This window comes from Homo sapiens, chromosome 16 (genome assembly GCF_000001405.40).
Source record: "Homo sapiens chromosome 16, GRCh38.p14 Primary Assembly".
Lineage (NCBI taxonomy): Eukaryota > Metazoa > Chordata > Mammalia > Primates > Hominidae > Homo > Homo sapiens.
In genome coordinates this window covers 87,338,741-87,360,515 of record NC_000016.10, presented here as the reverse complement: position 1 = coordinate 87,360,515, position 21,775 = coordinate 87,338,741, and the positions used below count along the sequence as shown (strand labels likewise).

Below are 21,775 nucleotides of genomic sequence, written 5' to 3'. Positions count from 1 at the left end.
GTCAGTGAAATCTCCACAGTGACAGATGCACTCTGGAGATGGGGCTGAGGCTAGGTGTGCACCTCCCCTGCCAGCCATCAGCAGCCTGCCCACGTCTGTCGCGTTATGAGTTGTTGATCTTAAATTTCTGCAAATGTTTCTTGTTACAGAGTATGGTGTTTGCGAAAACTTGCGGAAGCTGGAGATCACAGGCGTGTCTTGTCGGGACGTCTATGCGAAGCGTGAGTGAATCTATTTGTTACCATCCATGATTAACTTTGTACCAGAAGCAGACAGTGCACATCAATGACAAATAATCAAAGTGATTTAGTCCACACTTTTGTTTTCTCAGACACCATCTTACAGTCACATTTTGAATAGAGCACTGGTAGTAACAGCACTAAAATTAGGGAGGGGACACCGTATTCTCCCATTCTGGGCATCGTAGATACTAGTGTCTTTTACCAGGCATCGAGGCCCTTTAGAGCTGAGAAATGTAGGCTGCACCAGAGCGACTTGGGTGTTCCTGGAGGCTGCCTGTTTCTCTGGCTTCTGGGCCTCCAGCCTTCAGGATGGGACTGCCTGTGGTCATTGGGAAATGAAGCTGTGGTGCCTTCTGTCCAAGCCCCAGGTACGGAGAACAGCCCCCCTGCTAGAGTTCTCCTTCCCTTTAGCATTCTGTGAGCAGGCTGAGCCCCCCAGCCCCGTTTCATGTTTCTCTGGTTCACCCGCTTTCCAGAGTCAACTGTGACACTCACCGATCAGGCAGAGGCTCCTTGGCCCCAGGCTGTCTTCCCGCGGGTGTTTCTTCAGTGCCAGGGACTTTCCCATTTCTTGCTCACTGGACGAAGCTCTTGGCTTTTTTGGATGGTCAGAGGGTTTCTGTGAGTGTCTCATACCCCACGTTTTCATCTTCTGACCATTCTTTGAGCTTCTTTTCTTTTTTCTTTTTCATTTCTGCAAGGCAGTTGCTCTTTGAGTTTCTTAGGCCATTTGGGTCATATCATCTCAAAGTGACATGAAGACATATTTCTCTCTAAGAGTTGTCAGCACCAAAAGTCATGTCCCGGTAGGGACACAGGTGTTTGGCCTGCCCAGGTGTTAGGGTTTCCTGTAACAGCCATAGGAGTGTACACATGGATGCTCCTTCCAGCTGTGGGGGTCGGAGGTGTTGCCTGAGCACTGAGTCCTCCTGTCCTGTGGGAGAGGCCATCCGGGCATAGGCAGGCAGGAGGCAGTGTGGCCGAGGGTAGGGCAGGGGGTGGGCACAGAAGAGGGGATAGGAGGACAGGGCATTGGGAGATTTCTTTTCACTGCTGATTCTTGACCCCTTGAAAGTGTTTGCAAAATGCGGAGAATTCACATGATCTGTTTCCGACAGTGTTTATTCCCCGCAGTGTTAGTCTGCAGTGGCCAAAGCAAATGTCAGTGTTCATTTTCACAGCGCAGCAACTGTGTTTCTGTGAATTTGCTTTAAGGCTTATCCAGGAGAAAATTACTTAGCTTTGGGAACAGGTGGTGGAAGAAAATCAGCCTTAGCTCCAGAAACGGGTGGTGTAGTTGGGCAACCTTGGATGACCTGTGACGAGGCTGGCCTGAGTTAGCAGGCTGGGAAACGCCAGGTGGGTGCTGGGCAAAGTGAGTATGTTAGCCGGGGTAAGTGTTCTCTAGACGGTCATCCCAGATGCTCACCTGCCAGGACACCTGCCCTCCCACCTCCTGAGCCCCAGTGAGCTGTGGCCTGGGGCCTGCCGGGAGTGTGCTGGCCCCGGGAGGAGTGTGATCAAATATGGAAAGGATTTCCAAGCTTGCTGCCACCGTGAGTTTCTGGTGGCACCACTGATGGAAGGAAAACGTGTCACAGTGTTGTTCTCTCCAGCAGGTTTCTCAGAGCCACCTCTCTGTGTCCTGGGTGGCTGCATAAACACGAGGGGATTGTATCACACTGGTGAGGGGCAGGCATTGGGTCGTATTCACGCTGTTTGCACAGTCCTGTAAAGGGAGCCATCCTTAGCCCTTTCCCTGCTGTGTCTGTTCAGGTATAAACCCTCGCGTGAAGTCGGGACGTTTTGTGAAAATTCTCCCTGATTATGAGCACATGGCGTACAGAGACGTTTACACCTGCCGTATGTACCTCCTGCGAGCTTTGGCTTCTGCGGCAGCCAGCACGGCCAAGAACTGCATGGGGAGGGCCCTCTGATTCACACATGGGACAGCTTTGGTCCTGGAGCAAGCGGACCTCGTGGCTTTTTGTCATCCTTTCACGTTCACTTGCTGCAGCGTGGCTCTGCTTCAGCTGTGACAGAGATCACACCTGTGTGTTGGACCCAGGCTGCATTTGGCTTACCTTTCTGCAGTGGTTTCTGGGTACTACCAGTCGAGATCACTTTAATGCACATTTTCACATGTATCGTTTATTGAGGAGCTACTGCAGACACAGAGAGGAACGAACAGAGTAGAAGCTTTAAAATTTTATTCTAAAGTGAAATATGAATATTTGACTTCTGACCTTTATTAGTTTTAATCACATTTTAATAGCCTATGTGAATTAAAAATCACATATGCATATACCCTCAATAGACAAAGGCAGGTAGCAACAGTTGACTCCTTTTTTTTTTTTGAGGCAGAGTCTCACTCTGTCACCCAAGCTGGAGTGCAGTGTCACAACCTCTGCCTCCTCGGTTCAAGTAATACTGCCACCTCAGCCTCCCAGGTAGCTAGGATTACAGGCATACACCACCATGCCCAGCAAATTTTTTTGTATTTTTAGTAGAGATGGGGTTTCATCATGTTGGCCAGGCTGGTCTCAAGTGATCTGCCCATCTCGGCCTCCCAGAGTTCTGGGATTACAGGCATGAGGTACCGTGCCTGGCTAACAGTTGACTCTTTAGAACTTAATTCTTCTTTTTGGCCAGACATGGTGGCTAATGCCTGTAATCCCAGTGCTTTGGGAGGCCGAGGCAGGTGGATCATCTGAGGTCAGGAGTTCGAGACCTGTCTGGCCAACATGGTGAAACTCATCTCTACTAAAAGTACAAAAATTAGCTGGGTGTGGTGGCGTGTGCTTGTAATCCCAGGTACCCAGAGGCTGAGGTGGGGGAATCGCTTGAACCCGGGAGGTGAAGGTTGCAGTGAGCCGAGATCACGCCATTGCACTCCAGCCTGGGAGACAAGAGCGAGACTCTGTCTCAAAAAAAAAAAAAAAAAAAGAACCGAATTCTTTTGATGGAGCTCTGGAAATTTTTCTAAGCCACAGTTATAGGAATTTAATGCTGTCTCCACTTTTTTTTTTTGAGACAGGGTCTGTCTTGTTGCCCAGGTTGGAGTGCAGTGGCACAATTACAGCTCATTGTATCCTTGAACTCCTGGGCTGAAGCGATCCTCCTGCCTCAGCCTCCCTAGTAGCTGGGACTAGAGGCGTGTGCCACCATGCCTGGTTAATTTTTCAGTTTTTTGTAGTGACGGGTCTCACTATGTTGCCCAGGCTGGTCTTGTACTCTTGGGCTCATTCATTCCTCCCACCTTGGCCTCTCAAAGTGTTGGGATTGCAGGTGTAGCCATTGCACCTGGCCTGTTTCCACTTTTTATTAGCTCAGAGTGGTTGAGTGGTGATGGAGACAATGAATTTCAGCTGTCCAGAAAGAGATTGAAAACACCTACCTGCCCTAAAAGCTGTGTTGCAGTTTCTAGAGGCTCGTGGAGCCCCTACTACTGCTTTCAGTCCACCCCGATGGCCCATGGGTCAGCATGGTCTGTTGGGAGCAGACCTACATCTTAAGTTTCATAAATGCCCGATTTCTAAAAACACCAACTGAAAGCAGAAAGAGTAATTTCACCTAATGTCCTGCCAGATCTCAGCAGATCACTGCAGCTGGGGAACTGGGTCCCGCTTTACTGAGGGGACCTTCGTGTAGTTGGTGCGGAGGTGCCTGGATTTGGTTAGCACGCTTCAGGGTGGTGTCTGAACCCTTTACACGCCTGCTAACAGCACTGCCTTGTTGAGGTGTGAACTGTCTAGCTGAGTGGAGGCCAGAGCCAGGGGACCTCTCAGGAGTCTGTGGACCTCTCAGGAGTCTGTGGACGGGGAACACGGGGCTGGAAGGGGCCGAGGTGGAAAAGGAGGGGTGGGCAACGTTTGAAGACATTTGTGCCGTTCTAGACTGACCAGCCCTTCCTCTGAGCAGTCAGTGAGGAGAGCTGTGGGAGGGAACAGTCGACTTAGTGAGCGTTGACAACAGTCTCTCCTTGGTGCTGACAGGAATGTGCTGGCTTTTCTTTTCTTTCTTTCTTTTCTTTTTTTTTTTTTTTGAGATGGAGTCTCACTCTGTCACCCAGGCTGGAGTGCAGTGGTGTGATCTCAGCTCACTACAGCCTCTGCCTCCCGGGTTCAAGCAGTTCTCGTGCCTCAGCGTCCCAAGTAGCTGGGACTCCAGGCGCCTGCCACCACGCCCGGCTAATTTTTGTATTTTTAGTAGAGACAGGGTTTCACCATGTTGGCCAGGCTGGTTTTGAACTCCTGACCTCAGGTGATTGGGCAAGGGCTTTTCAATACAAGGGGACAAGCACTGAGAGGCTCCTCATGTCGCATGTCTGTCTCACTATTTCTCTGGAATGTGCACTGTGGACCTGGGATGGAATTCTGACCAGCCTCTGGGGAGGCCGCGCAGCTGGGGCCTAGCGAGTCTTCAGAGTTGCACTGGGGGCAGGGGACATTCCTTTTGTCCCCGAGGCAGGTGGAGGGAAGCTTCATGTAGCTCACGAGGAAGAGACCTCCTCCCCACGCTGCCGGGCTGGCCTCTCGAGCATCCAGGCTGCGCAGCCTCCTATTGTGATGTAGCGCCAGTTGCTTCGAGCTGGCGGCTTTATCATATGTGGGTTTTGATTGACATACTGTTGTTCATGCTGAAGTTTGAGTGTCGTTATAAAAACACAAAGTCATTGTAGAAAACTTGAAAAATTTAGAAAATAAAATGAAAAACAGCAGTTAAACATTGGTTGCATTTCTCTTTGGACAAATTTAAGTGGATGACCTACTAGAATATCAGGAAGAAAAAGTTCTTGTGTGTGAAAAAAGAAAGCCAATTTCAACAGCCTCAACCTATGCCTGTGATGTGTGGGTTTTCAGTATTCAGCTGCTCTTAGTGTGTCTTCATGGAGAGCGTCTCAAAATTTGTTCTCTCACAGCATCCAAACCTTTCGGAAAAGTCTGCCCTGATTGGCTTCTGAGTATTTTGGGGCCGTGCGTGGCTTGTGTTTCCATCATTCACGTGGGCCGTTAACTGGTCGTGTTGAAGTCCTTTGGACCTTGCGCTGTGGGCCCAACATCTTATTTTATTTTATGATAGAGATGGGGGTCTTGCTTTATTGCCCAGGCTGGTCTTAAACTCCTGGCTTCAAGCAATCCTTCTGCCTTGACCTCCCAAAGTGTTGGGATTACAGGCGTGAGCCACTGCGCCTGGCTGAGCTAACATCCCTGAGTGTAGGACTGTCCTGGGTGGGAACAAGCCCATACGGTAGAAGGCTGGGACCCTAATGTTGAGGAATAGTTTCTTTTATTTTTATTTTTTTGAGATTGAGTCTCACCCAGTGTCACCCAGGCTGGAGTGCAGTGGCGCGATCTTGGCTCATTGCAACCTCCACCTCCCGGTTCAAGTGACTCTCTTGCCTCAGCCTCTTGAGTAGCTGGGATTACAGGCATATGCCACCATGCCCAGCTACTTTTTGTATTTTTAGTAGAGACGGGGTTTTGCCAGTTTGGCCAGGCTTGTCTCAAACTCCTGACCTCAGGTGATCCATCTACCTCGGCCACCCAAAGTGCTGGGATTACAGGTGTGAGCCAGTGTGCCCGGCCTGTGGAGTAGTTTTGTGACCTCAGAGTCACTACTTTTGGGGTATCTTTTCTTTTTTCCTTGGGTGCATGAGGTTGCCTGGCACTCTGGATAATACGCATTTGTAAGGTGTTGGGAGTGTTAAGGGGAAGCCTGTTGTCCTGACAGCAGATCTGATACATCTGCTTCTCTGCACGTTGGTGAAGCCAGTCAAAGTGCATTTTTGGGTTTTTTTTTTTTGAGACAGGATCTCGCTCTGTTGCCCAGGCTGGAGTACTGGCGCGGTTATGGCTCACTGCAGCCTTCATCTCCCCGGGCTCAGATGACTGACCTCAGCTCCTAGTTAGCTGGGACTACAGGTGTGTGCCACCACACCTGGCTAATTTTTCTGTTGTTTTTGTAGAGACAAGGGCTCCCTATGTTACCCAGGCCAGTCTGGAACTCCTGGGCTCAAGCGATTATCCCGCCTCAGCTTCCCAAAGTGTTGGGATTACAGGCGTGAGCCACCGCGCCTGGACAATGTTCTGTACTTTTTAAAATATGTAAAACTCCAATTCATTTTAGCCTTTACTCAGATATTAACAATGATATCTTCTAAAAATATGGAGTGCCTTGCTTAGAAATGTAGTAGAATTCCTTACAAATGTCCATTCCTCTGAAACTGGAGGTGAACGCGGAGCAGGCGCACATGAGGCAGAATCCCATTATGTAGCTGTGGGAGCACAGCGGGGGCCGCAGAGACGTCCGCATCCTAGTCCCCAAGCCTGTGGAGTTGTCATCTAATCGGTGTGGGAGTCTGCCAGGGCTGCTGGAGCAGATGAACACAAAGAGGGTCTAAAATAACAGAAACCCACTTTCTCACAGGCTGGAGGCCAGAGGTTCAAGACAAGGTGTCCGGGGCCCTGCTCCCGCCGAAGGGTCTTGCGGAGCCTCCTTCCCGCCTCTCACAGGCTGGAGGCCACAGGTTCAAGACAAGGTGTCTGGGGCCCTGCTCCCGCCGAAGGGTCTTGCGGAGCCTCCTTCCCGCCTCTCACAGGCTGGAGGCCACAGGTTCAAGACACGGTGTCCGGGGCCCTGCTGCCTCCGAAGGCTCTTGCGGAGCCTCCTTACCGCCTCTTCCTGCTCTGGCCACGTTGCCGCAGCCCCTGCCTCTGTCCCCACGTGGCCCCCTCTGTCTCTGAGTCTCTGTCTTCTCGGAAGGACAACAGTCAGTGGATCGGGCACTTTCTGCGCAAGCATTCGTTTACCCTAACGTGCTCACGGCTACATTACATCTTGATTACTTCCACAGAGGGCCACATTCTGAGGTTCTAGGGGACGTGAATTTTGAGGGAGACCACTCAGCCCAGCCTCCACAGTAATGGGGACTTTGTGGGTAAAGGTGCGGGTCCTGAGGCAAGGGGGGCATCCTGGACCACCTAGGCAGGCCTTGTGTCATCACAGGGTCTTTGTACAAGGCGGGTTCTCCGTGGGAGTAACAGTGAGAGGCAGGAGAGGCTGCATGCGGCTCTGAAAGTGGAGGAGGACCCAGGAGCCGAGCAGGGCAGCAGCCTCGGAAGCTGGACAAGGCGGGGAGTGGACCCCTGCAGCCTCCAGGAGGCAGCAGCCCTGGCCACGCCTCGGCTGACGGAAATAGAGCTCATGTTAATCCAATTTCTTCCGTAGAGTCCCCTGAGCAACACAGGCCAACACCTTTAGTGAGGGGCATCCACCCACAAAATCTCCATCCCCGCCGGTCTCCTAGCATGGAGCCCACCTGTGGCACGTGGGCCAAGGTTCAGGGACTCTGAGTCAGGATGGGTGTGCACCAGAACCCAGATGTGCCGGCGCCTGGGCCGGTGCTGGAAGGAGAAAGTGTAACCTCACCTTTCACGGTACTTTCCCATTTGGCTTCATTTTGAATTCATTTCGGGAGCATTTATGCCGGGGCTCCCAGGGCAGATAGATGCCTTCTTTCAGTGCCTGGAATTAGAGGAATGAGTTGACCTCAAAAGATTATTCTGACGTTTCCCAGGCTCTCCTGTGAGGCCAGATCTGTGCTCCCAGAGTGGGGTCCTGGACAGCAGCATCCATGTCTTCTGGGAACTTGATGGACACGGCTTCCCTGGCCTCTTCCCACACCTGTCGTGTCTGGACCTCCGGGCTGGACCTGAACAGGCCTGTGGGATTCGGGTGATACTCCAGTTTGCGGACTTCTGGCCTGGATTATTTTCTTTCGTTTTAGCCTTTACCCAGATATTAACAATTTTTTTTTTGGTTATGTTATTTTCTTTTTAATAAGGGTTAAAATCTTACAAGTCTCAGCATCTGGTAATCTACTACCAGATGTTAAAACAACATTTAGTAAGAGGTAGCGATGTCCTTATTCACATTCTCATCTTTTAAATCATCTATTTAATTTTTGGTACTGAAAAACTGCGTAACGTTCAAAGCAGAAATAAGGTTGTTGGTTTTCCTGTGTAGTTGTTTAGCCTCCTAGATTGTCAGAGAAGTGTTTATTTCTTTATAACTGACAGATAATAATTGTGTATATTATGTCTTTATGGGGCACAGTGTGATGTGTTGGCATCTGTGTATGTTGTGGAATGATTAAATTGCACTGAGCTGCTCAGCTTGGCCACACATCACAGTCACCTGGGAGCTTCTCAGAAACCCTGACAGGGGCCCCCCACCCCACCCCACATCGCCTTGCTGATTGACTTGGCTGCTGTGGAGCCTGGCGTTGACGTTTTCTCGTGTCCCTAGTGATTCTGACGCGCAGTCAGGGTGGAGAGCCACTGTACAAACGAAGAGCGTCTCTCCATGTGAAGCTGATGTATATATATATTTTTGTTGTTGTTGAGACAGAGTCTCGGTCTGTCGCCCAGGCTGGAGTGCAGTGGCATGATCTTGGCTCACTTCAACCTCCGCCTCCTGGGTTCAAGCGATTCTCCTGCCTCCGCCTCCCACGTAGCTGGGATTATAGGCGTACGCCACGATGTCTGGCTAATTTTTTTATTTTTAGTAGAGACGGGATTTCACCATGTTGGCCAGGCTGGTCTTAAACTCCTGACCTCAGGTAATCCGCCTGCCTCGGCCTCCTAAAGTTCTGGGATTATAGGCTTGAGTGAGCCACCGCACCCAGCCCTATCCCTTGCTATTTCATATGGGAAGATAATGTGGCAGCTGCCCAGAAGTGAGCCCTCGAAGTGGCCTGGGCTTGCAGGAAGGCCTGACCATCTGCTGCCCTTGACTGAGACACTCAGGAGCCTTGTGGGGCACTGAAGTGCGGGGAACGTTGTTCCTGGCTCCTTTCCCCCGCCACCAGAGCCCAATTTAGGGAGGACTGCATCCTCCGAATTTAGAAAGATAGGCATCTAGATGACATGTTTATAATAAAAATGGTGAGGCATTAGGGTATAGAGATCACGCTCACACTCGTACGTGTCCAGCTCTGCTCTTGACCGTTTGAATGGGAGCTTAATTCCTATTGAAATCCATGGATTCATCTCTTGAATGAATCCGTTTGCTTGTGCGATAGCCATGCTTCGTAAGGACTCTTTTTAAAGTGCGTGTTCTCAGACACAGGCTTTGCGATTCCACGAGGAAGTCTGTGTCCCCTCTGGGTCTGTGCGCTGGCAGCCCATCTGGCCACGCTGTTTCTCTGACTCATCTCTTGGGATGGTTTTGGTGGCCGTCACAGACTAAAGGAGCCGACATCTGGTCAGCAGCGGCCGTTGCTTCCAAAGTACAGCGAAGGTGTTGTCGCTTTGACCAACACGCAGAGCTTCAAGATGCATGGAGGATGTCGCTTTAGAACTGGCATCTCGCAGGCTGCTGGGTTTTTATTTCAGAAATGCTGCTTTTCAGCACAACAGGGAACTCCCACTTTGGGATTGCCAGGCGTCTGAGGCAGGCTCATTGGGCAGTGTTCCTAGCACTTAAAGCGGGAGCTGAGGGGAGGGGATAGGAGGAGAGAGTGCAATGCTGAATAGTGTTTTTTTTTTAACCCCAGTATTTCATGATGAAATTTTGAAAACAGAAAAGTTGGAAGAATTGTCCAGTGAACCTCCATTTTGTTATCACCCAGCCGCCCAGCAGTCCATCCCTGCAGCCATCTGTGGACTTATTTTCTGATGCATTTCACACTTGCAGGCGTCAGTACGTTTCACTCCTAAATGCTTCAGTGTGCATTTCATTGTCAAGATCAGTGTGTGTTTATGGTTCCTGATCACACACCCGTCTAGGTGTGACCGTAAAGTAACAAGACTGGCTTGACTGTGTCCTGTAAATGGACTCAGGATTGTTCCTAAAGGGGTGTCTGTGTGTGGGATGGCTGGCAGCAGCCTGCACACAGCCGGGGCTCATTTAGGAACTTCCTAAACCATGGTCTGGGCTGAATCTTGGGAGCTGTTGGTGGAGTCTAGCGTCTTCTCCAAAGGCTTGAGAAGTTTCTTACTCCCTGTGCCTTAGATCCAGGTGGCGACCTACTTGCTGCCGTCCTGGCTTTCTTGCCCTCCCTGCTCCATCTTCCTTCCTGTGGTCTGGAGTGGTCTTGCCACTCCAGTGCTCCGAAACCCCCATGGCCCCCACTGCCTGCAGAGCCCCGAGATCCTGCCCATTCGTCCAGTCACACATGCTCACTCAAGCAGATACAGGTGCAGGACAGCAGACATAAACCATGTTCGCCAACATGTGGACTGTGCATGTGGTCTCTGAGTGATGGGATTACTGGTGAGCTTTAGGTTTCCTTTTTCTAAATTGTCTTCAGTGACTGTGTATGTGCTGCTTTTGAAATAGAGGGGATTTTTTTTTTTTTTTGAGATAGGGTCTTGCTCTGTTGCACAGGCTGGAGTGCAGTGGCACGATCATAGCTCACTACAGCCTCCGCCTCCCGGGCTCAAGTGGTCCTCCCACCTCAACCTCCTGGGTAGCTGGGACCATAACTCATGCCACCACACCGGGCTGATGGAAATTTATTTTAAAAAAATAGCTGATCCAGTTGATTTTTTTTTTTTTTCAGATGGAGTCTTGCTCTGTTGCCCAGGCTGGAGTGCAGTGGCGTGGTCTCGGCTCACTGCAGCCTCCGCCTCCCTGTTCAAGTGATTCTCCTGCCTCAGCCTCCCGAGTAGCTGGGATTACAGGCACTTGCCACTATGCCTGGCTAATTTTTTGTATTTTAAGTAGAGACGGGGTTTCACCATGTTGGCCAGGCTGGTCTCGAACTCCTCGTGATCCATCTGCCTTGGCCTCTCAAAGTACTGGGATTACAGGCGTGAGCCACCATGCCCAGCCTGCAGCTGAAATTTTAATCTGCAGGCCCATGACATTTTGTTCTCTGCCCCAACGTGTTCCACAATCCCTGCCTTTCACGGTTGTGTCAGCTGCCACTGGGGCTTCCGGGGGATTATATTTTATTTTCTTCATATCTCATTCTGTTCTTGTTTTGATTGCTGTAGTTAGAATAGTTCATTTTCATAGCACTTGTCTTTTAAAATTTGGAGTGTCACTGGCTGCTCTCACCTCTTCACATGGACTTTGGAATCATTTTGTTAAATTATTTTTTAAAACCTGTGGATTTGAGTTGGGATGACATTATTGATGATTAGCTGAGTGTGGATTTGAGTTGGGATGACATTATTGATGATTAGCTGGGGGAGTTTTTGTCTTCACAGTGTTTTCTCCCCATGTATGAATGTTTCCTGTCTCTGTCTTTACTGAAGTCTTGTAAAGCTGTGAGTGGACTTATGTGCCTCCTGCTGCCGAGGCTTGGTCTGCTGCTCCTCCTACCGAGTGAGCGATGCTTCTGCTGGATTCCGGTGTACTCCCTCATTACCTGCCTTGCTGAGTGCTCAGTTGTTCTGCGGGATCCAGGGTTTGCGGGAGCTTTCCAGGTACACAGGCGCCAGGCCTGCTTCTCCACCCTGCGCTGGTCCTGCCTGCTGCTCTGGTGGGTGTCCCGGGTGAGTGCAGGCCGCCCTCTCATAGGCAGCCCTCATATGATGGCTCCCAGCACTTTCTGTCCCACCGTTAGGGGCCCTGGGACCTGTGCTTCCAGCGACCCAGATGGGTGAGGCTGTAACAGCCTGGGCCGGCTGCCTCTGCCCTTTGGTGACCGTGATGGGGAGGTGTCCACAAAGCACCCTATATGTTGGCTTATCCTCCCGCCAGGTCTGTAGTCTCTACCCGGTCACCCCTTCTTCCTGGGACCATGCCCCAGATCAGCTGCTACCCTCAAGCTCTACCATTAGGGGGCCCAGGCGTGTTCAGGGAAGGTCACTGGGTGCCACCTTCTCCCCCATCATCACGCTCACTGCTTTCTCTTGATGGGTAAGGCTTCCCGAATGATGGGAACTAACAGTGGTGGTGAAGTCGAGGCAGACTTCATCAGGCATTTAGCATCCAAGGGGTGGCTCATGAGTGCAGATACAGTGCAGGGGCCGGAGAGGGGCTGGGCTGGGCTGACCTGGGAGGCTGAGGCTGATGGAGAGCGGGCAGGTAGGGTGGAGAGGCAGGAAGGTTGGTGGCAGCCACATGGCTGAGGGCCTAGAGCCTGGCCAGGGAGTCGTGGAGAGAGGCAGTGGGTGGGCTGGGGGTTCAGGCCTGCCTGAAGGGGAGGCAGCTGGTGCAGTGGCCCATACCCCATGGGGTGAAGGCCTGGGCAGGGCCCAGGGGCAGCTTCGAGGGTGACCTGGAGCTGCTCAGGAAGTGAGATGGCCCAGCCTGACCTGACCATTGGCTGGCAAGGAACGGGATGGAGAAGTTGTGTCCTGGGCCTTCAGCGAGTGTGACATTGTCATTGTTGGGATAGCTTTAAAGATCTGATTGCTTATGACATGCCTTGTAGCGCTACCAGCATCTTGGCATTTGGCAGGTCTAGTCCAGCTCGCTGTTTGCACGTCTTCTGTCTTATTCCTAGAAGAGAGAGTTCCCAGCCTTGCTTGATTTCCCCCCATTGATGGGAGGCTCATCACTTCATGGGAGACTCATTTTACTTAGGCCTTCTGAGGATAGTTTCATTCTGATAGTTTTTTTTTTTTTTTTTTTTTGGAGACTGAGTTTCCCTCTGTCGCCCGGGCTGGAGTGCAGTTGTGTGATCTCGGCTCACTGCAAGCTCCACCTCCCAGGTTCATGCCATTCTCCTGCCTCAGCCTCCCAAGTAGCTGGGACTACAGGCACCCGCCACCACACCCGGCTAATTTTTTGTAGTTTTAGTAGAGACGGGGTTTCACCGTGTTAGCCAGGATGGTCTGAATCTCCTGACCTTGTAATCCGCCCAAAGTGCTGGGATTAAAGGCGTGAGCCACCGCACCCGGCCTCATTCTGATACATCTTTAGAGGCTTGGTGTGCATGTGTTTGGAGGGCTCTTGCAAGCCTTTTGTGAGTCCTCATGGTTCCTTCCTCCCTCTCGGGGTTCCTGGGCTCCCTGCGGCACGCTGGGTCTAACACAGAGACTTGCTCTTTCTCTCCTCCTGTAGTGCTTCACCGATATAGACACATTTTGGGATTGTGGCAGCCAGATATCGGGCCATACGGAGGACTGCTGAACGTGGTGGTAAGTCCCGGAGCCTCGCGACGAGGTCTGTGCACGGGCAGGAGTGGTGCCTTACGTGGAGGAATTTGAGGGCCTCTTCTACCTGGGTACAAGCTGGCCCAGATGTGCGTTTGAGGTAATTACCAAAAAATTCTTGCTCTGTCACTTTTCAGGAGCCAATTTTATTTTCCAAATGAGCAAAGGTTTGCTTAGAGCAACACTTCGGCCTTGTGGCCCGTCCTTGGACTCTCTGGTCTGAGGGGGTGGCTTGTGAGGGCCTTTGCTTCCTGGACGCTGAGGCCCATCGCGCACATGTTGGCGGGGTCTGGAGCCCGCCCTCAGCCAGGTCCTTCCGTTCCTGGTCTTTGCCCCCCATGTTCCAGCCATGGTGCACTCTGACGTCTGTTTCCTTGGGTTCTGCTGTGGACCCGCTCTGACCACCCTGCCTCCCGCCCCCTGTGCCCTCCTACTGGAGCCTCTCGAACGGAAAGCCCTGCTCTGACTTTGTTGAGCTCTGGGCAGGTGGCTGGCCCCTGCTAGAAAGTGCTAGAACGTTGCAGGCGGAAGTCCAGGCTGGTGGCAGAGTCGTCTCCGTTTCCCTTCTCCCGGCAGCCTGCTTGCCGTTGGGGTCTGAGGACCCGTGAGGACATTTCTTTCCTGTTCGTTGGGTCTGCCATGGCAGTGCCTGTCTAGTCCTGGGTACTTGATCATGGCTGGAGATGGAAGTCTGGCTTTCTTTTTTATTAAATTCCCGTTTTTCGGTGAAGTTTTCCTTCTCTTTGTTAATCTTTTTGGGTACAGTAGTGAAAGTTTCTTTCGAGTCTAGCCCCCGCCTTTTCTCCTGATCTCCAGGCGTGTTGGATGCCCCCCACCCCTCACTGTGCGCCTGGGCACTTGCTGGGTGCCGTGGCCTGGTCTCCTCAAGAGGCCCTGGCCCCGGCCTGCGGGCAAAGTGGAGTCAGGGCACCTGCTCTGCGCAGGCCCGGGGTATGCGCGCGTCTCAGGCTTGGGGAAGCGTCCCGTTCTCATTCCGGGTCTCTCTCCTTCCCAGGACACAACCCTCTGTAGGGCCCAGCCGGAGGCCGTCCGTGACTCTATCCCCAGGCCCTGATTCCTCCTTTTCTCTTCCTGGCTTTGTGAGTCACGCTTCGCTTGGCCCCTTCTCCTCTCAGCAGCCACTCTGCTTCCCTCCTCCACCTCCCACCCCTCACTCAGGATTCCGCAGGTGCCTCGTGCAACTGCCTGTGTGCAGCATGGGGCTGTGTTCTCTGGTTGCCATCTTTGGCGTTTGGCGGCGGTAGTCCTGGCTCCTGTGTAGACCTGGTCTCCGTGTGTGCCTCTCCAGCCTGCAGGTGCCAGACATGGGCCTTCCTCCCCAGCCAGTGGTCAGTGGCCTCAGGAAGGGGGGAGAAGGCCCTGCCCCTCGCCTCTCAGCCTGTCCCTTCTCTTCAGGGCCTTGGGTCCTCGTCACTGGGCTACCTTCATTGCTCTCTGATGTGTTCAGTCTTTTTTTCTTTTTCTTGTTTTCTTTCTCCTGGAATTAGGAGAGAGTGTTCAGTCTTCGTGGCTGGTCTCAGCAGGAGGGCAGGTTTGATATGAGCTCTGGGGCCAGGGCCAGGAGCAGATGTCTGCTTGTAGTTTTAGTTTCTGTGTTTCTCGGTCACCTGCCAATTTATGTTGAAAAGTAGCTGCTCATTCAACACAGTGAAGTTGTCTGACTTTTCTTGGTATTTGCAGGTGTCCCTGTGGGGTGAGGAGGTGGTGCTCTGCGGGCTCTGCGTGGTGCCAGTGTCTGCATGGAGTCTGCATGGCTTCCGGTCCGCCCTCCCACCCTCTTCCCCTCCCTCCCTCCCACCCTGCCTCCCGCCCTCCCCGCACCCTCCTGCTGGAGCCTCTTGAACTTTCCGGAAAGCCCCGCCCTGACTTTGTTGAGCTCTGGGCAGGCAGCTGGCCCCTGAGGTGTCACTGTTGCCATCGTTCTTGCTGTGTTGAAAATCCGGTGCTGGTGTTGGGATTGTGCTCCGCTCCCTTTTGTGGGACCAGGGGCTGAGCCCAGCGAGGGCGGGTGTGTCTGTCTCCCCGTGGCCTCTGCACAGGTTCTTCCAGGCCTGGCATGCATGGCCCCTGGGCAGATGGCTCCTCTGTGGCTCTGGGCTTTGTTCCTCAGGTGGGGTTCGGGGCAGGGATGGGCTCTGCCCCCAGGTGGGGTTCGGGGCAGGGATGGGCTCTGCCCCCAGGTGGGGTTTGGGGCAGGGATGGGCTCTGCCCCCAGGTGGGGTTTGGGGAAGGGATGGGCGCTGCCGGAGGTGGGGTTTGGGGCAGGGATGGGTTTTGCCCCCAGGTGGGGTTTTCATCTGCTGGGAGCCGCTGTGGAGAAACCCGCTCTGCGTTTGTTGTGTTGGGCGTCGCGTGCTCCAGCCTTGCTTTTAGGATGTTTCCTCTGAGAGACCAGCCCGGCAGCTCACAGGGTGGGCAGATTGCTTTCCTTTCTTTTAGTGGAGGAAGGGTAATTGTTTTACTTACTGGCAGTGAGTAATAGAGTAAAAAAAAAAACCCCAAAAAACAAAAAGCAGTGGATAATTGGGGAAAGTGGAGTCTGTGAGAGAACAGCACCAGCTCACGCTTGACCCAGGCTCGTGAGCCACAGAAATGATGGAATTCTCTCCTTGGTTGCTGGAGCTGGCAGTCTCATGGGTCCCAGCTCTCCCAGAAGGGGGTGAGGCTAGGCTGTCCTTCCTTATAAGCATGTGGCTGCTGTGGCCAGAGCGTGCTGGGGCCCACCCGCCTCTGCATTTGCACGATCGGCGCCCGGACACGCGAGATCGCACGGGCAACGCACTCCTCGGCTCTTCCCGCTCCTGAGCGCCCCTCCCGGGGTCTTGGCGTCTCTCTCCTCCCCTGCACTTCGGTTTTGAAGCAAATCCCAGGCCCGTGGCATTTCAGCTGTCCGTCCCTCCGGGCAGCGCCCTAAGAAAGGGGGTGTTTCCTGCATCTCCGTGTCACTGCCACACCTGACAAAAGTGGCACACGGTCCTTGTGTTGCCTGTTGCCCAGGCCATGGGATGCTTCCCTGATCATCTCAAAGCCTCCTTTGAATGGCAATTTGTTCAGCTCAGGACGCGAACGAGGCCCTTGCACTGCTGTTGTTCACTCTTTCCTGTTGGGAGATGCACCCCCTTTCCCTCTGTCTGGTCGGCACCTCACCCCGTGTCACTTTCTGGATTATTCTGCCTCCTCCTGGTGTCCACCTGCATCTCAGAGCTGGAAGATAGTGCTGGGATTCGAGGCACCTCGAGGGTGGGCGTGCAGGTCCCATGTGCTGGTCTGGCAGGAGCTTCTCTGTGCCATTGCAGTGCGGGGAGCCGTGCGGGGCCGCCCTTGCTCTGGCCCGGGAGCCACTCATGGACCTTTGCCCATCTCCTCCTGTAGGTGGACGGCCTGTTCATCATCGGGTGGATGTACCTGCCTCCCCATGACCCCCACGTCGATGACCCTATGAGATTCAAGCCTCTGTTCAGGATCCACCTGATGGAGAGGAAGGCTGCCACAGTGGAGTGCATGTACGGCCACAAAGGGCCCCACCACGGCCACATCCAGGTGTGTGCAGCGGCGGGGCTGGGTCCTCACTGTCCCAGGGCTGTCCTGTGTGGGCTCCAGCCAGGCCTGCCGTGCTATTCTCAGCTGCAGACCTGGGCTGTAGCAGATCGGCGGGTGGGAGGGAGGCTCCGCCCTGCCCTGCTGTGCATTGTTTACGCCTCCGTGGCGCAGTGGACTCTGCAGCGGTCACTTGCTGGACCCCTCTTGATTCTGCTCTCAGTTAGAGCCGCTGTTTCTTTGCAACTTCAGTTCCTCTGTCTTTTTTTCCTGTTTGCAAGAATATCAGTGTGGAATCAAGTGCGCTCTCTGTTCTCTGATCTGGTCTGGCAGTGGCCCCCACGGTGAGCACAGCGTGTCATCTGCCACACCTTGTGTGTGAGATGCAGCCCTTTTGCTGCTCTGTGTCACGCTGGGAAATGCAAACGCCACTCTCTCAGATGTGCCACTGCCTCCTGCTCTTGGGGGAGTGTTGCTCAGGGAGACTCAGCTCCCTCCGCTGGCACCGCGTTGGTCGCATCTTGGGTGCCTGCAGTGGGGTTTGGTGGGTGTGGTGAGGGAGGGGTCGTGGCCACCTGCCTGGGGTGGGGGATGCTGTGATGGACTCTGTTCCTCACTCTTCTCTTTCCTTGTGTTGCAAACACTGAAGATTGTGAAGAAGGATGAGTTCTCCACCAAGTGCAACCAGACGGACCACCACAGGATGTCCGGCGGGAGGCAGGAGGTGAGCCCACCAGCCGGCCCTGTGTTCATATGGTGCGGACCTTTCCTTTCCCCACGGGGAAAGTACAGACCCATGCGGGAGAGAAGTCAGCAGCATGCGACCTGCATGGTGGCTGTTTCACATGGTTCAGCCGGTATTGTCAGTGCAGACCGTGCATCCGGCACACTCGAGGAACAGCATCGTGCGGGCGGGCAGGTTGCCGGTCCCCTCCCCCTGCAGAACGAACGAACCACACAGGCCGTTTCTTCAGTTAGCTCTGCTTTGCCCCTCTGGCGGGCACATCCACTTGCTGAGGGGTTGCTGGGAGGCTGCTTCTAGGATGTGAGCTGCAGGGAGACCCGAGGGCTGCACCCAGAGTTCCTGTGTTTCCCATCCTTGAGCAGACCGTGTGGAGGCTTCCGGATCGTGCCAGTGCAGCGGGGAAGCCTGTGTGTGATTGTTTGCCTGAGTATTTTAATATTGCCCTTGAGTTTTAGCTTTCAAGGATCTAAGTCTTACTGCCCTCTCAAAATACTCTTAAGAAGGAAGGTGCGGTGGCTCACACCTGTATTCCCAGCTCTTTGGGAGGCTGAGGCAAGAGGATCACTTAAAGTCAGGAGTTCAAAACCAGCCTGGGCAACATAGTGAGACCCTGTCTCTACAAAAACCAAAAATATTAGCTGGGTATGGTGGCATGCCAGCTACTCAGGAGGCTGAGGTGAGAGGATTGTCTGAGCCCAGGAGGTGGAGACTGCAGTGAGCTATGAGCGCACCACCGCACTCCCATGTGGGTGGCAGAGTGAGACCCTGCCTCAAAAGGAAAAACAAAAAATTAGCCAGGCATGCTACCATGCTACGGGGTTATGCCATGTTGCCCAGGCTGGTCACAAACTCCTGGGCTCAAGCCGTCTTCCCACCTTGACCTCCCAAAGTGCTGGGATTGCAGGTGTGAGCCATCGCGCGCGGCCAGGGTGTGCTTTTCTTAGCTAGTTTGAGTTGTGGTGGTTTCCCCATCAGCCAGAGGACTGCAGAGAAGGTTGAGATGAACCAAATGTCCTGTTTCTCGGAATTCTTTGCAAGTAAGTGACGTTCCTGTTTTCTTGAATAGATGGCATGTGAAGATGATCAGTAACGGAAATGTTTTAATTATGCTGTTATTTTAGATTTGATTTTATATACAGAAACACAACGTATGTGTGTGATTGCTGTGGTTCAATTTTTTTTTTTTTTTTTTTTTTTTTTGAGACGGAGTCTCGCTCTGTTGCCCAGGCTGGAGTGCAGTGACGTGATCTTGGCTCACTGCAACTTCCGCCTTCCCGGTTCAGGCAGTTCTACTGCCTCAGCCTCCTGAGGAGCTGGGCTTAGAGGCACCTGCCACCATGCCTGGCTAATTTTTGTATTTTTAGTAGAGATGGGGTTTCACCATGTTGGCCAGGCTGGTCTCGAACTCCTGACCTCAGGCGATCCACCCATCTCGGCCTCCCAAAGTGCCGGGATTACAGGTGTGAGCCACTGCTCCTGGCCTTATGGTTCACATTTAAGTGAAAAATGTCAACAGATTTTTCAAGAATAGAAACTCCTCAGCTGTTGAGCCCTTAAAAAAGAAAACCATATTACATTTCTGGTACTATATACTTTGGGATTAGGAAAAGTTTCTGTAAGCCTACTTCTGTGTGTGGGCTCACTGATTTTGAACTGGAGTAGTGTTTTTCCTGATTGTAAATATAACAACATGTGCTCCTTGTGGAAATGAGAGAAACACCCAGGAGTGAGGGTGAGAGGGAAGGTATTGCTGGAATCTTGATGGGGGGAGTTTATGTTTCCCTTATTCTGAGTGAGACCAGCCTAGTGTCTTGGGATCAGGAGCTCTCTGTGGTTTTATGAACTGTTTCATGAACTGTCTGGTCATAGCCTGTGCCTCTGTTTCTGTTTGGTGTTGGCGGGTTTCAAGTGGGTTTGTAGGAGCTTGTTAACTATTAGGAAATCGAAGCCCTTCCAGATAGGAGTTGCCAGGTTTTTTTCTTATTCCTTTTTTTTGTCTTTGGATTTCTCTTATGGTGTGTTTTCCATCCATGGAATTTTTTATTTTTAATGTTAATTTTTAAGAGAGAGGGTGTCTCACTTTGTTGCCCAGGCAGGTCTCAAACTCCTGGCTCGAGTGATCTTACCGCCTTGGCCTCCCAAAGTGCTGGGGCTACAGGCATGAGCCACCACGCCCAGCCGTATTTTTAATTTTTACATAAGCAGATGTATCCATCTTTCTTTAAAAGACTCTCAGTTTAGTGCCATCCTGAGATCTCTCCCTGAAGCACATATGTTTACAAATGAGCTCATGCTTTTATTTTTCTCTTGTGTCTGTGTCTGGTTCCGTTGGATCTATTCTGATGTGAAATGTAAGGCTTAGCCCCAGCCTTGGTTCTGTGCAGACCTGATCTGTTATCTCCACACTGGATGCGTGATAACCACACTTCCTACATCAATTTGTAGCGCTGCTTTTGTCCTAGGTTACCCTGTATACTTGGTTCATTTCTGGACTTGATACTCTGATCCATATGTCTGTCCACATGTCAGTACCACACTATTCTCATTCTTATAGTTTTTGTTTGTTTTTGAGATGTAGTCTCGCCCTGTCCCCCACACTGGAGTACAGTGGTATGATCTTGGCTCACTGCAACCTCCGCCTCCTGGGTTCAGGTGATTCTCCTGCCTCAGCCTCACTCCCAAGTAGCTGGTATTACAGGCGCCTGCCACCATGCCTGCCTAATTTTTATATTTTTAGCGGAGACAGGTTTTCCCCATGTTGGCCAGGTTGGTCTCGAACTCCTGACCTCAGGTGATCCGCCCACCTCGGCCTCCCAAAGTGCTGGGATTACAGGCGCGAGCCACCGCGCCCGGCCGAATTCTTGTAGTTTTATCGCTATGTTTTATTTTATTTATGGCTTAGAGATAGGGTCTCACTGTGTTGCCCAGGCTGGGCTCAAGTGATCCTCCTACCTCAGCCTCCCAAAGTGTTGGGATTATAGCTGTGAGCCATTGCACTGGCCTATCACTGTATTTTAATTGCCTGTATTCCTCTTCTATTTTGGAATGTTCCCGGCTCATCTTGTTTATTTGCTGTGTGAACTCTAGAAGCAGCTATTTCCCAGAAACATCCCCTTGCTGTCTCTTCTTGCAATTGGAATAGCAGCACGCTTACGGTCAGTGTATGGGGTGCTGCCGTTTGTGTGATGTCCACACCCCCATCCGACATACTCCCTCGGCTCGTCCCGCTTCTGAGCTCCCCCTCCGGGAGTTGACAGGGTGAGGGTGCCACTGTCCCAGGTAGGGCAGAGGCTGGGGCTGCTGACGGTGCTGTACCACCTATCCTCGAGTGAGAGCAGCCTCTCCTCTTCTGCAGGGGCTGCACTGGCTGCGCCCTCCTGTGGGGCTTGTCACCTGCTCCCACAGTCACTTCGTTCATCTTGAGGCCTGCAGTGTCCTCGCTGCTTTTCTCTCACGACGTGTAGGGGTTCAGAGGGTGGGGCTGTCTGTGGATTCATGCATCAGCTGGGAGCTCCTCTCCACTAAAGGCCAGAGAGCAGGTAGGTCACCAGGAGAGCTGCATTCCAGGAAGAGGACATCCCAGGAGGTCTGGACATGGTGACACATCCTGATAATTTTCACAACTGAGGTGAAAGATCAGGGACAGGAATTCGGTACTGCCCTGAGCTCTGCTGGCTGAGAACTTCTGGATCAGCACTGTATTAGTCCATTTTCACGCTGCTGATAAAGACATACCCAAGACTGGGTAATTTATAAGGGAAAGAGGTTGCATGGACTCACAGTTCCATGTGGCTGGGGAGGCCTCAAATCATGGTGGAAGGCGAAAGGCGCATCTTACATGGCGGCAGGCAAAAAAAGAGAGAACTTGTGCAGGGGAACTCCCCTTTATAAAACCATTGCATCTCGTGAGACTTATTCACTATCATGAGAGCAGCATGGAAAAGACCCCACCCCCATGATTCAGTTACCTCCTGGGGTCCCTCCCATGACATGGGAATTGGAAGAGCTACAGTTCAAGATGAGATTTGGGTGGGGACACAGCCAAACCACATCAAGCAGGTTCCAAGGGAGTGGAGTCCTGTCTGCCCAGGGAGGTTGGAGGGGCCAGGCTCTGG

General features: G+C 52.5%; 1 protein-coding gene across 2 annotated transcripts in view, besides 3 other annotated features; it reads left to right on the top strand.

Moving 5' to 3' along the window:
• The window catches only part of FBXO31 (F-box protein 31), a 65,135-nt gene that overhangs the window by 31,606 nt on the left and 11,754 nt on the right, over positions 1 to 21,775 (top strand). For both annotated transcript variants that reach the window (NM_001282683.2, NM_024735.5), the window contains 4 exons: positions 150 to 221; positions 13,266 to 13,342; positions 16,751 to 16,918; positions 17,565 to 17,639. In NM_001282683.2, the coding sequence (NP_001269612.1) occupies positions 16,778 to 16,918; positions 17,565 to 17,639 (216 nt within the window). In that variant the 5' untranslated portion in view covers positions 150 to 221; positions 13,266 to 13,342; positions 16,751 to 16,777. The remainder of the gene's footprint in view (positions 1 to 149; positions 222 to 13,265; positions 13,343 to 16,750; positions 16,919 to 17,564; positions 17,640 to 21,775) is intronic.
• Positions 7,156 to 7,697: an enhancer, noted in NCBI's record as "H3K4me1 hESC enhancer chr16:87386425-87386966 (GRCh37/hg19 assembly coordinates)". NCBI's record gives its function as "activates a minimal SCP1, AML or CMV promoter by ChIP-STARR-seq in naive H9 embryonic stem cells {active_cell/tissue: H9 hESC(naive)}" and the evidence as "EXISTENCE:reporter gene assay evidence [ECO:0000049][PMID:30033119]".
• Positions 13,261 to 13,815: an enhancer, noted in NCBI's record as "H3K4me1 hESC enhancer chr16:87380307-87380861 (GRCh37/hg19 assembly coordinates)". NCBI's record gives its function as "activates a minimal SCP1, AML or CMV promoter by ChIP-STARR-seq in naive H9 embryonic stem cells {active_cell/tissue: H9 hESC(naive)}" and the evidence as "EXISTENCE:reporter gene assay evidence [ECO:0000049][PMID:30033119]".
• Positions 13,816 to 14,371: an enhancer, noted in NCBI's record as "H3K27ac-H3K4me1 hESC enhancer chr16:87379751-87380306 (GRCh37/hg19 assembly coordinates)". NCBI's record gives its function as "activates a minimal SCP1, AML or CMV promoter by ChIP-STARR-seq in primed H9 embryonic stem cells {active_cell/tissue: H9 hESC(primed)}" and the evidence as "EXISTENCE:reporter gene assay evidence [ECO:0000049][PMID:30033119]".